The 14,860-nt window shown below is 33.7% G+C and overlaps 1 long non-coding RNA gene across 4 annotated transcripts in view; it reads left to right on the top strand.

Moving 5' to 3' along the window:
* The first annotated feature begins 1,780 nt into the window (after positions 1-1,780).
* Positions 1,781-14,860, top strand: part of LINC00470 (long intergenic non-protein coding RNA 470) — a 91,319-nt gene continuing 78,239 nt past the window's right edge. For 3 of the 4 annotated variants that reach the window (NR_023927.1, NR_110327.1, NR_023926.1), the window contains exons 1-2: positions 1,781-2,023; positions 2,650-2,684. This is a non-coding gene — a long non-coding RNA (long intergenic non-protein coding RNA 470). Of the gene's footprint in view, positions 2,024-2,649; positions 2,685-7,947; positions 8,004-14,860 lie in introns of all 4 variants that reach the window. The other variant, NR_023925.1, reaches the window with a different exon arrangement.

Raw genomic sequence — 14,860 nt, 5'->3', positions numbered from 1 at the left:
GTTACTAAGTGTGCTAAAAATACTCATTTTGTAATTAATTTTTAAAGTTTTCTTAGTATATTATAAATTGTTCCCTGGTCAAGTACAAACGTACACATCAAAATGCCCATATTGTGTCTATCATTTGATGTGAATTATATGTGAAATTTTTCTTGTTCAAAATTTTACTAACCAGAATTCTGTTACAGGCACTTAAACACGCAGCATGAGGAAAATGGAACAACAATCTTGAGGTGCCTTCTGAATCATCAGATTAAATTATGCTTCGTATGTTTTGTTTTACTGTATTTCTTTAAAAACTCTCAATCTTTATTCATGTGTTACTGGATTAATTTATTTGATAATGTCTCACAAGAATCTATTAGATCATTTATTCTTCAGTTGTGCTTTGAATGGTGGGGTGGAAGTTTCAGGTGAACACTGTGGATAACAAAAGCAAGTTGTGGAAGACTGTGAAGAGGATGGAATAATTGAATACAAGAAAAAAATGAAAAAAATTGTCCCATTTTTAATAACTATATTACACTATTATTTTATAAATGTGTAACAAAGGGGTCCCTCTTTAAAAAAAAGAAATATCTCACGTAACCCATAATACATACACTGACTTTGTACCCACAAAAATTAAAAAATAGCTCCTTAATAAATAAATAAATAAAAGAATTCCTCATCTGTCACCTACTACCCACCAAAATTTTCAATAAGTACAACTATTTGTTTGGTGAATGAAATAGTAATATTTTCCCTTTGAACCAGGTGTTTTAATGCTGTGAGCTGCTAAAGATGGAAATCAGCAAAGAAGGAAACAAGCTAGGCCACTACTCACTCCTTCTCCTTAGCCCATGGAGATATATTCCACAAAGCCAGCTATTGATTGCTACCATTAGTCGGCCAGGCAAACCAGCAATAATTGCTTTAGCAATTTTGTTCATGAACATTTCCTGTTAATTTCCCAGGAGTAAAACCAGCTCCTCCCCCTCTTTTAACAAAAAGTCAGAGAGCAGGTGGAAATTATCATACTCATAAATGTTACAAAAGTATTATTTACTTGGTTTGGGGTAGTGAAGAATGCAAAGCAAAAGATGAAGTATTTCAAGTTTTTAAAAGATTTGAATCAACCACATGTATCAGTAAGTAAAGCAAAGACCAAAATTAAAAAGTATATTTGATTTTTTATTTATGGAAACTCTTCACCATTCCACTTAAAAATAAGTAATATCCCTTCAGGGTTTGGTACATTTCAAGATGTCTAACTTTCTAATTATTTAGACAAAAAAACAATGGTTTAGCTCACTAATTTTCACTGCTTCTTATATCCCAAATCTTTTTTTTTTTTTTCTGAGTGGGAGAGAATTTTCCTTTGTTCTGAAGTACATCCTTTCAAACATCATTTAGTGGTGGTCTCATGTGATCGGCTTCTTGGTTTTGTCTGCCTAAATATGTCTATTATTTTATAAATGTGTTTATAAATTAAATGTTTAATTTTCTGTGTCAACTTGGCTAGGTCATGACACCCAGATATTTGGCCAAACACATCTGGATATTGCTGAGAAGTGATTTTTTTAGATGAGATTAACATTTAAATCAGTGGACTTTGAGTAAAGCAGATTACTCTCCATAATATGGGTGGCCTTATCCAGTCAGTCGAAGGCCTTAACCCGTTTATGCCAGAGGTTGCAAATTTTTTGTGTGAAAAATCAGACCTTGGCAATGACCTTGAGCAGTAGGATATAAATAAATCCCACAAGCTTAGCGTTCCAATAGTGGAGCACTAGGCATAAATGCCTTAAAGAAAGGACTGATCTCCCCTGAAGAAGAGAGAATTCTGCCTCTAGATTGCTTACAATTTGAACTGGAACATCAGCTGTTCTCTAGGTCTTAAGTCTGCTGCTCTAACCTACAAATTTTGGACATGCCAATCTCCACAGTCACATGGGCCAATTCCTTAGTTTCTCTGGAGAATCCTGACTAATGTATGCAATGTCTTTATTTCATCCTCATTCTTAAAGGATATTTTCATCAGGTATGCTATTTTAGGTTGATGGTTATTTTCCTAGTGCATTGAAGGTATTATTTTACAGGTTTAGACTTCCATTGTTTCTGTTAAGAAACAGCAGTTTAATTGTTTTTTTGTTTTTTCTTTGAAGGTAGTCTGTAGTTTTTAATGGGTACTTTTATGAACTTTTTTTTTTTGCTTTTGGTGGACTGTGGTTTCACTAGATGTGTGCATGGGTAGATCTCTTTTTTATTTTGCTATTTGAGATTTACTGGGCTTGAATTTGTGAATTAGTGTCTTTCAACAGTCCTGGGATGTTCTTAGCCATTGTATTGTCAGACATTGATTCTTCTCCATTTTCTCTCTCTTCTCTTTCTGAAAGTTCAAATAGATGATTGTTAGATCCCACTCTGTCCTTCCTATGCCTTAATCTCTATTTTGTTTTCTATTAGTTCCCTCTTCAGCTATATGTCTTTTTTTTTTAATTAATAGATTTGTTTGTTTGTTTGTTTGAGACAGGGTCTTGCACTGCTGCCTAGGCTAGAGTGCAGTGGTGCAATCAGGGCTCACTGCAGCCTCACTCAACTTCCCAGTCTCAAGCCATCCTCCTACCTCAGCCTCTGTTCCACTAATCTACTTGTCAATTTTTCCAGCAACACCACACCCTCCTGATCACCATAGCTTTATGGTAAGTCTTTATTTATTTACTTATTCATATATTTATTCTATTTTATTTGAAATCTTTTATTAAAATATAATGTACACACAGAAAAGTACATAAATCAGTGAATCTTCCAAAACTCAATATAATACTATAGCCAGCACCCAGATCAAGGACCAGAACATTTTACCAGCCCCAAGGATCTTCCTCATGTGTTCTCTCCAAGTCCTTACCTCCACCAAGGGCAATCAGGATCCCAGCTTCTCTCACTAAAGAGCAATTTTACCTGTCTCTGAACTTTTAGAAATTGAATTAGTTATATATGTACTCTGGTATGTTTGGCTTCTTTCCTTTTCTGATTATAGAAATAATTTAACCTAGAAAAAAATCCAATACTTAAATTTATCATCAAAGGAAGTTAAATATTACATTAAGTACATAGGTTTTTTTTTTAACTTGTATTTTAGGTTCAGGGGTACATGTGCAGGTTGGTTATATAAATTGCATGTTGCAGAAGTTTGGTGTACCCCTTATTTTGTCACCCAGATAAAGAGTTCTGCTAACAACCCTGTGTTTTTTCCCTTCATTCACTCCTGAATTGATTATTATTCTTACTTGTTGGATTATTTATGGGATAAAGAAGTTCTTTTTTTCAGATTAAAACTATGTTATCCAGTATTTCTAATGGTTTTCAGATTCGTATAAAAAGGTAACTACCAGTTTGCCAGAGGATTGTACCCAAATGCTCTGTGGGCCCTTAGCTCCACCTGGAGCATGTATGGCCACAGCCATGGCACCTGCACCCTTGGCAAGCTGGCCACTTCTCCCTGGAGTAGACCGTGTGGGAGCACTCTGTGTCCCTGCCCAGGAGGTCTTGAGATGGACTGATGAAAACTGAAAGGTCATATTTGCCATGTGCTGAGGTTAAGGTGGATACTAGGGTGACTGTGGAAAGGCAGATGGGAGTGAGGGATGTTGGTGAGGATCTGCTTGGTGATGACATCACCATAGTCTGGTTGTAACATTGCCTACAGTATAGCTTGGAGTGCTCTTCCACAGTGCAGGCGTCCACATCACTAATGAAGGTCTTACACCCTATGCATTCAGGAATGGGGTTGGGATGGGAGAGTAGGTTTGGCTGCTTTGGGGATGGGGAGACCCAGCCCTGATAGTTCACCCTCAGTACCTGCAAAGGCCTGGGGAGGAAACTGTGATATTTATTTTTGACTTGAGTGTTTATATTCTATTTCTTTTAAAATGGTATCTGTTATTCTTATGTTACTTCTAGGTTAACCTTTGGTTATAAAATGGTTTTTCTTTTATTTCTACTTCTCTCGAGTTATTCAATTCATTTATAAGATTTTCTAGTTTTGATATATGTTTTCCTTTATGCCTTATGTTATTTTCTTAATGACTGTTTTGAAGTAGACAGTTCCAATTTTTATCTGTTATGTTAATACATCTTTCTGGTATAATTTCATTGTCTTTAGGAGATATGATTTACTATTTGTTCTTTCTTTTCTCATAATAATTTTTCATGAGACTTGAGAGATTTAAAAACATGGCTGCAGCTCTATAATCATCCTCTTTATATCTTAAGCAGACAATTCATACAATAAGCATTCTAAGTACATTGAGTTGTGGAAATTGTTTTCTTGAATTGGACACAGCTTGATAATAGCTGCTATATATTAAAGTTCTCATGCTGCCTCTCCTTGTAGATTCATGCCTTGGTACTTTCTGCTTTTAAAGAAACTTTCTCTTATATTTAATATCATGTCACAAATAAACTTGATGATTTAAGGCTTTAATTTATTTTGTATGTATCCGAACCTATTAGAAATAATACTAGGAGCATGAATTCCACGTTAAAACACCTCCGGTTACTTATTGCAAAAAGTTCTCCCCTCATTTCGGAGCAACTTTCAGTGTCTTTCCCCAAGCTATATATCTTTGTTAAAATTACATTGGTCATGTCACTAAATAATGCTTGGTACCTAAAGAAATAAAAGAATTTAAGTGGAAAATATAGATATTATTTTGAAAACATTTCAAAACAATGAAAATGTGATGGATTTCCCCTCTCATTTTGAGGACAATTTTAGCCTTAGATGGAATCTTCTAAAGTGTTGTTTAAGTAAGATGCATTGTTTCTAGTCTTTTTTTGTTGTTGTTCTCTTTTGAGATGGAGTCTCGCTCTGTCACCCAGGCTGGAGTGCAGAGGCGTGATCTAGGCTCACTACAAGCTCCGCCGCCCAGGTTCACACCATTCTCCTGCCTCAGCCTCCCGAGTAGCTGAGACTATAGGAGCGCACCACCACCACACCTGGCTAATTTTTTGTATTTTCAGCAGAGACAGGGTTTCACCATTTTAGCCAGGATGGTTTCAATCTCCTGACCTCGTGATCCACCCGCCTTGGCCTCCCAAAGTGCTGGGATTACAGGTGTGCACCACCGCACCCAGCTGTTTCTAGTCTTAATGATAGTTATGACAGAATCAGGGTTATTTTTAATGGTAAATATTTGCTTTTTAGAGATATTTCTATATTTATTTCTGTGCTCCTAAGTTTTATTCTAAAACTCATTTACATAAAATATGCTTATCTTAAAAAATGTATTTATCTATTTTTTACCCTCTTTCCCCACTCAAAAGACAAATTTATATCTACAATCTCAGACTTACATAAAAACAAGACATCACTGAAATTTTGTAATAGCTGAAATTCATGAAGTCTTGAAAGGTAAAACAAATGTCTTTATTTTTACACATTTATGTTGTCAGTAATCCACAGCGAGGCAACAGGGAATAAAAATGTCATAGAGCAAACTACTTCCAGTTGTATTGTTTTAACAAAATTCTGGCTGATTATCAGTTGTGCAGGTTTGTCTACTTTAGCAAAGTTCTGTTTATTGACTTTTCATCAAATATTTTTAAATGCTACATCATATTCCTTTGCCCATATACCTCAGAGACCTCCTTTCTTAGCCTGCCTATTAATGACAATTATCTTTTTTAAAATCAATTTTACTAAATGTAGTTACATACAATAAATGCACCCATTTAAAGTATTCAGTTTGAACCACTTTGACAGACCCCCTCCCCCCCGCACCAGTGCAACCACTACCAATTCAAGATTTGTTATCTATCTTCATGCTAATACCATGTTTTCTTGATTACTACATAGGTGTTGTATTAAACTTCAAATTCAAATAAGATAAAAGTGCAATTTTATTCTTACATTTCAAAATTGTTTTGGCCGTGCAGGGTCCTTCAAATTTATATATGAATTTTAGAATCATCTTGTCTGCCAGGTTTCTCAATAAAGACTGCTGGCGTTTGTATTGCATTAAATTTGTAGCCCCCTTGGGAGAACTGACATGAAAATATTGATTCTTCTAGTCTTTAAATTGTTATATCTTTCCATTTATTTAGCTGTTCTTTTTTTTTATTATTATACTTTAAGATTTAGGGTACATGTGCACATTGTGCAGGTTAGTTACATATGTATACATGTGCCATGCTGGTGTGCTGCACCCACTAACTCATCATCTAGCATCAGGTATATCTCCCAGTGCTATCCCTCCCCGCTCCCCCCACCCCACAACAGTCCCCAGAGTGTGATATTCCCCTTCCTGTGTCCATGTGATCTCATTGTTCAATTCCCACCTATGAGTGAGAATATGCGGCATTTGGTTTTTTGTTCTTGTGATAGTTTACTGAGAATGATGGTTTCCAGCTTCATCCATGTCCCTACAAAGGACATGAACTCATCATTTTTTATGGCTGCATAGTATTCCATGGTGTATATGTGCCATATTTTCTTAATCCAGTCTATCATTGTTGGACATTTGGGTTGGTTCCAAGTCTTTGCTATCGTGAATAATGCCGCAATAAACATACGTGTGCATGTGTCTTTATAGCAGCATGATTTATAGTCCTTTGGGTATATACCCAGTAATGGGATGGCTGGGTCAAATGGTATTTCTGGTTCTAGATCCCTGAGGAATCGCCACACTGACTTCCACAATGGTTGAACTAGTTTACAGTCCCACCAACAGTGTAAAAGTGTTCCTATTTCTCCACATCCTCTCCAGCACCTGTTGTTTCCTGACTTTTTAATGATTGCCATTCTAACTGGTGTGAGATGGTATCTCATAGTGGTTTTGATTTGCATTTCTCTGATGGCTAGTGATGATGAGCATTTTTTCATGTGTTTTTTGGCTGCATAAATGTCTTCTTTTGAGAAGTGTCTGTTCATGTCCTTCGCCCACTTTTTGATGGGGTTGTTTGTTTTTTTCTTGTAAATTTGTTTGAGTTCATTGTAGATTCTGGATATTAGCCCTTTGTCAGATGAGTAGGTTGCGAAAATTTTCTCCCATTTTGTATGTTGCCTGTTCACTCTGACAGTAGTTTCTTTTGTTCTTGAATTTTTATCAGCAATGTTATAAAACTTCAAGATATGAGTCTTATACATATGTTAAATTCATTCCTAGTTAGTTTATATGTTTTGATGATATTGTAAATAAAATTTTAAAAACTTACATTTTTCTATTATTTATTGTTAGTAAATAAAAATACAGTTGATATTTAAATATTGATCCTGAATCTTGTGACTTTTCTAATTTAATTTATCAGTTCTAATACAGTTTTGGTAGATTATTTAGGATTTTCTACATATACAATCATGTTTCCTGTGAATAATACAATTTTATTTCTTTTCTAATTTATATGTCTTTTATTTTAAAAATTTTTATTCTCTTTTTTTCTCCTTTATTGAACACACAAAAATCTCCCATACTGAATGGAAATGGTAAGAGTGGACACCCTTGCTTTGTTTTGATCTTTAGAGGAAAGCATTCACTCTTTCACCATTAAGCATGACCTTACCTGAAAATTTTTTATAGTTGCCCTTCACTAGGCCAAGAAAGATTTACTGGGTTTCTAATTTGTTTAATTAAAAAAATCCAATAAATGAGTGTTGAATTTAGTTAAATGCCTTTTATGCTATATTAAAAGAATTATGATTATTTTTATCCTTCATAAATGTGATGTCACATTACTTGATTTTTCAAATATTAAATTAACCTTTTATTACTCATAGGATTTCAGAGCCTTTCAAGAGTATACTTAGAATTCTTGCCTTAAATCTTTGTTATTGTTGTTATACGTTTTACTTACACGTATATCACAAACCTGTAAAACATTTTTATGTTTTTTAAAGGAAATTTAAAGTCTTTTATATGTACTCATTTATTATCTGTTATTTTTGGCATTCTTTTCTTTGTGCAGATCTGAGCTTTCATCTGGTATCATTTCCTTTCCGTCTGAAGAACTTGCTTTCCTTGGTAATTAAAGTCTTCTAGTGATTAATTTTTTAAAAATTGTTCTATAAAAATGTGTTTATCTTACCTTCATTTTTTACAATTTTTCATTGTTGGGAAATACACATAACAGAATATTTACCATCTTAACTATTTTTAAGTGAATCATTTGGGTGGTACTAAGTACATTCATATTATTGTGCAACCATCACTACCCATCCATCTCCAGAACTCTTTTCATCTTGCAAAACTGAAACTTCATACCCATTAAACAATTACTTCTCATTCCCTTCTACCCCCAACCTTTGGCAATAACCATCTACTTTCTGTCTCTGTCATTTTGACTACTCTGAGTAGCTTATATAAATGTAATCATATAGTATTTGCCTTTTTGTAGCTGGCTTATTTCACTTAGCATAGTGTCTTCTAGGTTCATCTATGTTGTAGCATATGTCAGAATTTTCTTTCTTTGTTAAGGCTTACTGGTAAGGAAGGACTTGCTTCTGTCATTTTGCTATTTGTTTTCTATATGTCTTATAGCATTTTTGTCTAACATTTCCTACATTACTTTCTTCTTTGGGGACCTGAAGGACTCCCTTTAGCATGTTTTGCACTGATCCTTTTCATTGGGAGAATACTTTAGAGGATATAGAATTCTCAGTTGATAAACCCACTCTCCACCCTAGTACTGTAAACATATGTTTCCATCCTTTTATGATCTGCATTGTTTCTGATGAAAGTCAATAATAATTCCTATATTTGTTCCTCTGGGTGTGTAGCATAAATATTTTTTTGGCTGGCTTTAAGATTATTCTTCTTTATTACTAGTTTTACACAATTTGTTTATGATGTGATTTGGGTGGTTTTCTTTGTGTTTATCTTGCTTGAGGTTCATTGAGGTTCCTGAATCTATAGGTTAATATTTTCCATCATATCTGGAAAAAATCTTATCAATTATTTATTCAAATTTTTTCTCTGCCGAATTCCTCTATTCCTGGTACTCTTTTCATACTTATAATAAATTTCTCATTTTCATCCAAGAGATTACTGTGACTGTTTTTTTTTTTTCCAGCCCTTTTCCTTCCTGTGCTTCAATTTGGAAACTTTGATTTGACTTTTCTTCAAGGTTATTGATCGTTCTCTCTGTAATCCTTGCATAATAATTTAATTATCTCAGTCATTTGGAGTCTGTTTCTGTTGAAAAAACTCTTTTTCCATTTGTTTCTTATGGGCTACAGTCTAGATAGTGCTCCAAGACAGTAAACTGCAGTGATTATGTTGCTTACCTGATTTTTCCCCTACTCTTATGAATTATAGTTCCTATTTCTCAATGCTGAAAAAATTGTTTCATTCATTTTCCCCACTTTTCTATTTATTTAAGGTGGAGTGATTAGTCTAGTTTATCATAACTTATACTGAAAGTCCTGACAGTTATCTTTTAATTTTGATGTCTTAGAATGTTTGTTTCTTTTTTATGTCATGTGGAAAAGTAATGGAAGTAAAGCCCAAAGTCTGGTTGAGCTGGAGTTAAGCACTGATTTAACATGGGTAGCCAGTTACATATGATGCTCTAATGATAGCTCCCATCATTTGCTTCCTAGGTTTGAATTTTGCTAGAGTCTCCATCATTCCCCTTAACATTTCTTTTAGAGAATCAGATCATCATACCTATTTTCCATTTATCAAAAGCCTCACTTGTACTTCTTTAGACTGCTTTTGTCTACTCATTCGATTTCATTTTCTTTTTTTTCTTTTTTAAAAATTATTATTATACTTTAAGTTTTAGGGTACATGTGCACAATATGCAGGTTAGTTACATATGTATACATGTGCCATGCTGGTGTGCTGCTCCCACTAACTCATCATTTAGCATTAGGTATATCTCCTAATGCTATCCGATTTCATTTTCACTGCCAAAATTATCTGGGGTTGTCTGTAATTATCTCAGCTCTTCATGATCTCTTCTCCTCATCCCCATTGTTGCTTCAATAGATACCTAAGAACACTGGACTTTGATTCATAACATTGAAATGTGCATCACAGCATAACCAAATCGCTATGACTGCTTGGGAATCTCTCATAACTTCTCTGAACATACTTACATGGTGGAATCAGCATGAGAATACAACCTCTTCTTGTCTCATAGATTTGACAAAGGCAAAGCACAAGTGTAAAGTTTACAGTGTGTTATCTTTGTACTAACTCATGTAATACGCTCTCAAATAATTTTTTTACCATCTGCGCTTTTTCATTAGAAAATTATTTTGTGATGTGTCATACATAACTTAAACATTGTTTCTTACCCCGTAAAATTGATTTAAAAATTGGCTAGATGACACTGAGCAGAATGTCAACCCTCTGTAACTCATCTGGAACTCAATGCACATTTCACATTCTTTACAGAAGATTTCCACACATGGCCTAAGTTTGCTCAGTGGGTGGGCTTTCAGGAGCATGAAGGTTTGTAAATTCAGGACCTCTGATTTATGGTGGGTCTTTATTCCAAAGACTTTCTTTAAATTTAGTTTTTTGAGAACTGAGGGATTGAGAACATATTTTTCAAAGGATGTGTTCATTTAAATTGCAGGTAGATCAGCCCACAGGGCTCTTCTCATACATAATGTAGCTGTGCTATATGGATTAACTGATACAAATAAACTAGAATTTGTGTCAAAGATATTTAAGCTGTGAAGTTGAATTATAGTTTTAGCTTAAATACCTAAACCAGAGGTATCTCTGACAGAAGTAATTTTCTAGGTCTGATTCACAGGTAAGTACTTGATTTTCAGCAGCATGTCTTTGTTGATGAGATTTTTCAGATTTTAGCTCTTGAACTCGCAACAAGGACATTGATTGTTTTCGTTTCATTCTGTATATACCCTGATATCTAAGGATGTTTTACTGGATATTCAATGAGGCCAGAGGCTTACCAGTGATGGCATTTTATTTTACATTCCTTGAATTTTCTAATCTGTACAATTATATATATATGTATGTGTGTGTGTGTATTTCTTTTATGTGCCCTATTGCACATAACATGCAGTATAAATATGTCATATATTAAGTGTAAGTTGAATAATTAAGTGAACTTGTGTAATATACCAGCTCATCTCTATCACACATATTATTTCTTTCTGTCACTTCATTTTTTTCCTCCTCATTCACTTCCATCAGCCTAGATCTTGAAAACTGAAGCAAGGCTTATTTTGCTCTGTCTGCTCTTTTTGGTCTGTTCTTTAGAACAGGATACTTGCTTTTGAAAACTGACACTTCAGACCATTGCAGTTTATTCTTCATAGCCATACTTTTGAATAGGAAAAAATATGCTTCCCTTGGCATGCTGAGGCTTTTGTGAAGTGGAGAAGACAAGCATGGAGTGAGTCTGTTTTGATAACTATGGGGAGTTGGTTGGAGAGAAAACCGAAACACTTACTAAACCTAAGGTGCCACTCCACGGGGACGAATAGTGATGTAGATTACTGCTAGCAGTGTTAGTGTCATCAGATAGGATTTTCCTGGTGATTGTGGGAATTGCAGTCTGCTGAATGAAACACAGAGAATAGTAAAAACAACTTACTAGAGCTCACTAACCCACAAAAAACATATATTTTTGTTTTTTCCATCAAACCCAAGAGTCCCAACCTATTTATGTTTTTGTTTCCTGACTGCATTTTCAAGGTAATTGATGCCTGCAAAAAGGTGGATCCACTACTTGTTATTTTACTGATAAGAGTTTTCTGTTCTGCTTCAGTCTTCCTTTGCTCCTAACCAACTATTTAATTCTATGCCTCCCATCTTCTGTATCCTAGGTCAGCTGTGCTAACTTGATCTCTGAAAATAGGCTGTGGATGGTCCTTGCCCTTCCGGACTAACTTGTGCTGCCATGTTGTTTATAGTCATTAGAAATACTGTAAAAGCATGCACTGGTATTCTAAATTCTATCTTCTAGCATTTGAGAATTTTGTCCAAGACAATATCCTGCCAAAATGCTTCAACAACAGAACAAGAGAAGGGAAATGGAATCCTGGAACCAGTAAGGATTTCTGCTGAGTTACAGCATCTGTACATAGCTCAATATTAAAATATTAAAATTAAAATACTGTAACTTAGCAAGCTAATAGATAAAAAGAGAAAATGCGTATAATTATCTCTTTATAGCTAGAAGAAATTTGATGAAATTCATTCTCTATTCTTGTTAAGAACTCTTAATGCACTGCAATGTATTTACATAAAATATCCTGAAAATAAAAATATAATTATTATTTCATATTTTTAAAAGAACTGCATCTAGAACTTCTAGAACCGTTCCTTTTCATTTCGGAGCAAGAGGAATATGTTCATTATGACATTGTTTTTTAATGAAGTCTAAAGTAATAAATTAGAGAAGGAAATAAAGGGTATAAAGTTACAAAAGAGAAGGGAAAATAAATATTTGCAGTTTAATATAGTTATATCAATTACAAACTCAAGTGGATGATCTGAAACTCTCATAAAATAATAAGAAAATTCCATGAGGCAGCAGAGTACATTAAGAAAAAAAGGAATAGCTTTCTCATATACAAAATAAAAACAAGATAGAAAAACATAATTAAAGGGAAGCACTTACTGACCATAGCCACAAAAAGGTGAAATACACAGAAATAAACTTAATAAGAAATGTAGAACACATAAATAAATTAAAATTGAGAATACTATGGAGGTACTCAAGAAGAATTAAATTTAAATGCATTCCCCCTTTTTGGACATGAAAACTTAATATCATTTTAATGTTTATTCTCTCCCAATAAATCTATATGTTTAATATGCTCCTCAATAATTACAGCAAGATGACTTTTAAATGAACTACACTGATTCTAATATTGATCATTACAAAAATTCTGAAAAACAGTGAAGTTATTGCTTTTTGAATGTACCCTCCAAGGGGATGAGTATTTAGTCCTACAAGATATTAAATGTATTGTTATAATATAGTAATTTCAAAGTTGATGCCAGCACTTACATAAGTAACGTATGATTTAATAAAACAGAGTAAAATGTTCAGAAAATAGCTCGGTAAGTTTGTGAATTTGGTATGTGTTAAAGGTGACATTGAAAAATTAGTGAAAAAACATGAATTATTCAGTAAATGATGCTAGAAAAACTGCATAGCCATCTGAAAAAAGAAATACTGGTTCCTACTATAATTTCATATGAAGCAAAGATTTTAGTGTAAAAGAATTATCCATAAAAGTATGAAAATAAAACATAGCAAACATTTAAAAAGTAATTTTGGAATAAAACATTTCTAAATGTCATACAAAGCCCAGAAGCCATAAAAAAAGATTCATAAACTTGACTAAAAATAGAACATTTGCATGGCAGAAATAACCATAAATAAAATACAAGGAATTTAGAAAAATGTTTATAATACATATCATAGGCGAAGGCTAATTTCTTTAATAAACACTTTCTATTCATCCATGAGAAAATAATAAATGATCCAATAGAAATAAAAGCAAAGGTCATAAATAGTTTAGAGAAAGAAATTACAACTGACTTTCAAACTGAAGAATAAATAACTTGGTACATTCAAAATGGAAGATAAATATAAATTAAAACCACAATTAGGTAAAAACGCTATTAGATTGGCAAAGATAAAATGTTAGATAATGGAAACTCGTATTTGTGTGTTACATGGGTCAATAATAGAACTAATAATGATATTTGACATGTTTTGAGTGTTTACTTTTTGTCAGGTACTGTTCTAAGAACTTTACATGTATTTATTAACTAATTCATCACAACAATCCTATCAAGCAAGAACAATTATTATTCCTATTTTCAGATGGCAAAATTGAGGTCTGGAAAGATAAGTAACTTGTTCAGTTACACAGAAAGTAGTTGGCAGGAGTAGAAAGTGAACACAGGAGATCAGCTAAAAGATATAAGAGCAGCTTATATTCAGCTGTGGTTGTTCTATAATAAAAAGTACAAATACAGTCCCTTTAATACTGAAATTCCACATTCAGAGTTTTATCTTATAGATTTACTCAGACATTTACAAAATGATGAATATACATTTATTGCAACCCTTTCTGCAATAGCAGTAGATTGGAAATCAAAGTTCATTACCAAGAACTGATTATCTATACTGTGGTACAGCCATACAATGCATCCTAAGCAGGTGAAACCAAATGAAAGTTTTCAGTTTCTTCATCTGTAAGTATATTATCATTTGTGTACCAAAAAAGTATCATTGTATACCCATTATTTATGTGGTATGTGTGTGTGTGTGTGTGTGTGTGTATGTGTGTGTGCTCACGTTATATTAACATATCTCTGAAAATGATACACAAGAAATTGGTAATAGCCATAGGTTGGTGCAACAGTACATTAAAAGTAATGGCAAAAACCGCAATTACTGTGGCACCAACCTAATAGCTGCCTTGGAGAGGAAAATTAAGGGTGGGAATGGGGGAAAAACTTACTTTATTCATTGTATATTCTTTAAGATATATTGTATATTCTTTAAGATTTCTTTATATTTTATACCATACGAATGTATTGTCCATTCAAAAATGAAATGCATTTATTAAATTTTTTATATAATTTTGTTTTTGGAAGTGGCTTCACCAATATTCTGAAACCCTTTCTCTACAGGCAGGTATCTATGTGCCCTTGTTTGGCAATAGCTATCTCTAATGACACCAGGTTTGAAGGGAATGTGTTGTATCTGCAAATGGTGTTGAGGCAGATCCAAGGTGGGCATCGTTGAGCTGGATTTCTTTCTGCTCACAGAAACATTTTCCACATTCTTAGAAGAGATATTTAAGTGCTGTTAGGATTGCCTTCCCTCTTCTCATCTGTCTCCACTGCCCTTATAAACACCAGAGCTTGAACCA

The sequence above is a fragment of the Homo sapiens genome, chromosome 18, assembly GCF_000001405.40.
Source record: "Homo sapiens chromosome 18, GRCh38.p14 Primary Assembly".
In the NCBI taxonomy this organism is placed as follows: domain Eukaryota; kingdom Metazoa; phylum Chordata; class Mammalia; order Primates; family Hominidae; genus Homo; species Homo sapiens.
This window is presented reverse-complemented; position numbering and strand designations above follow the sequence as displayed.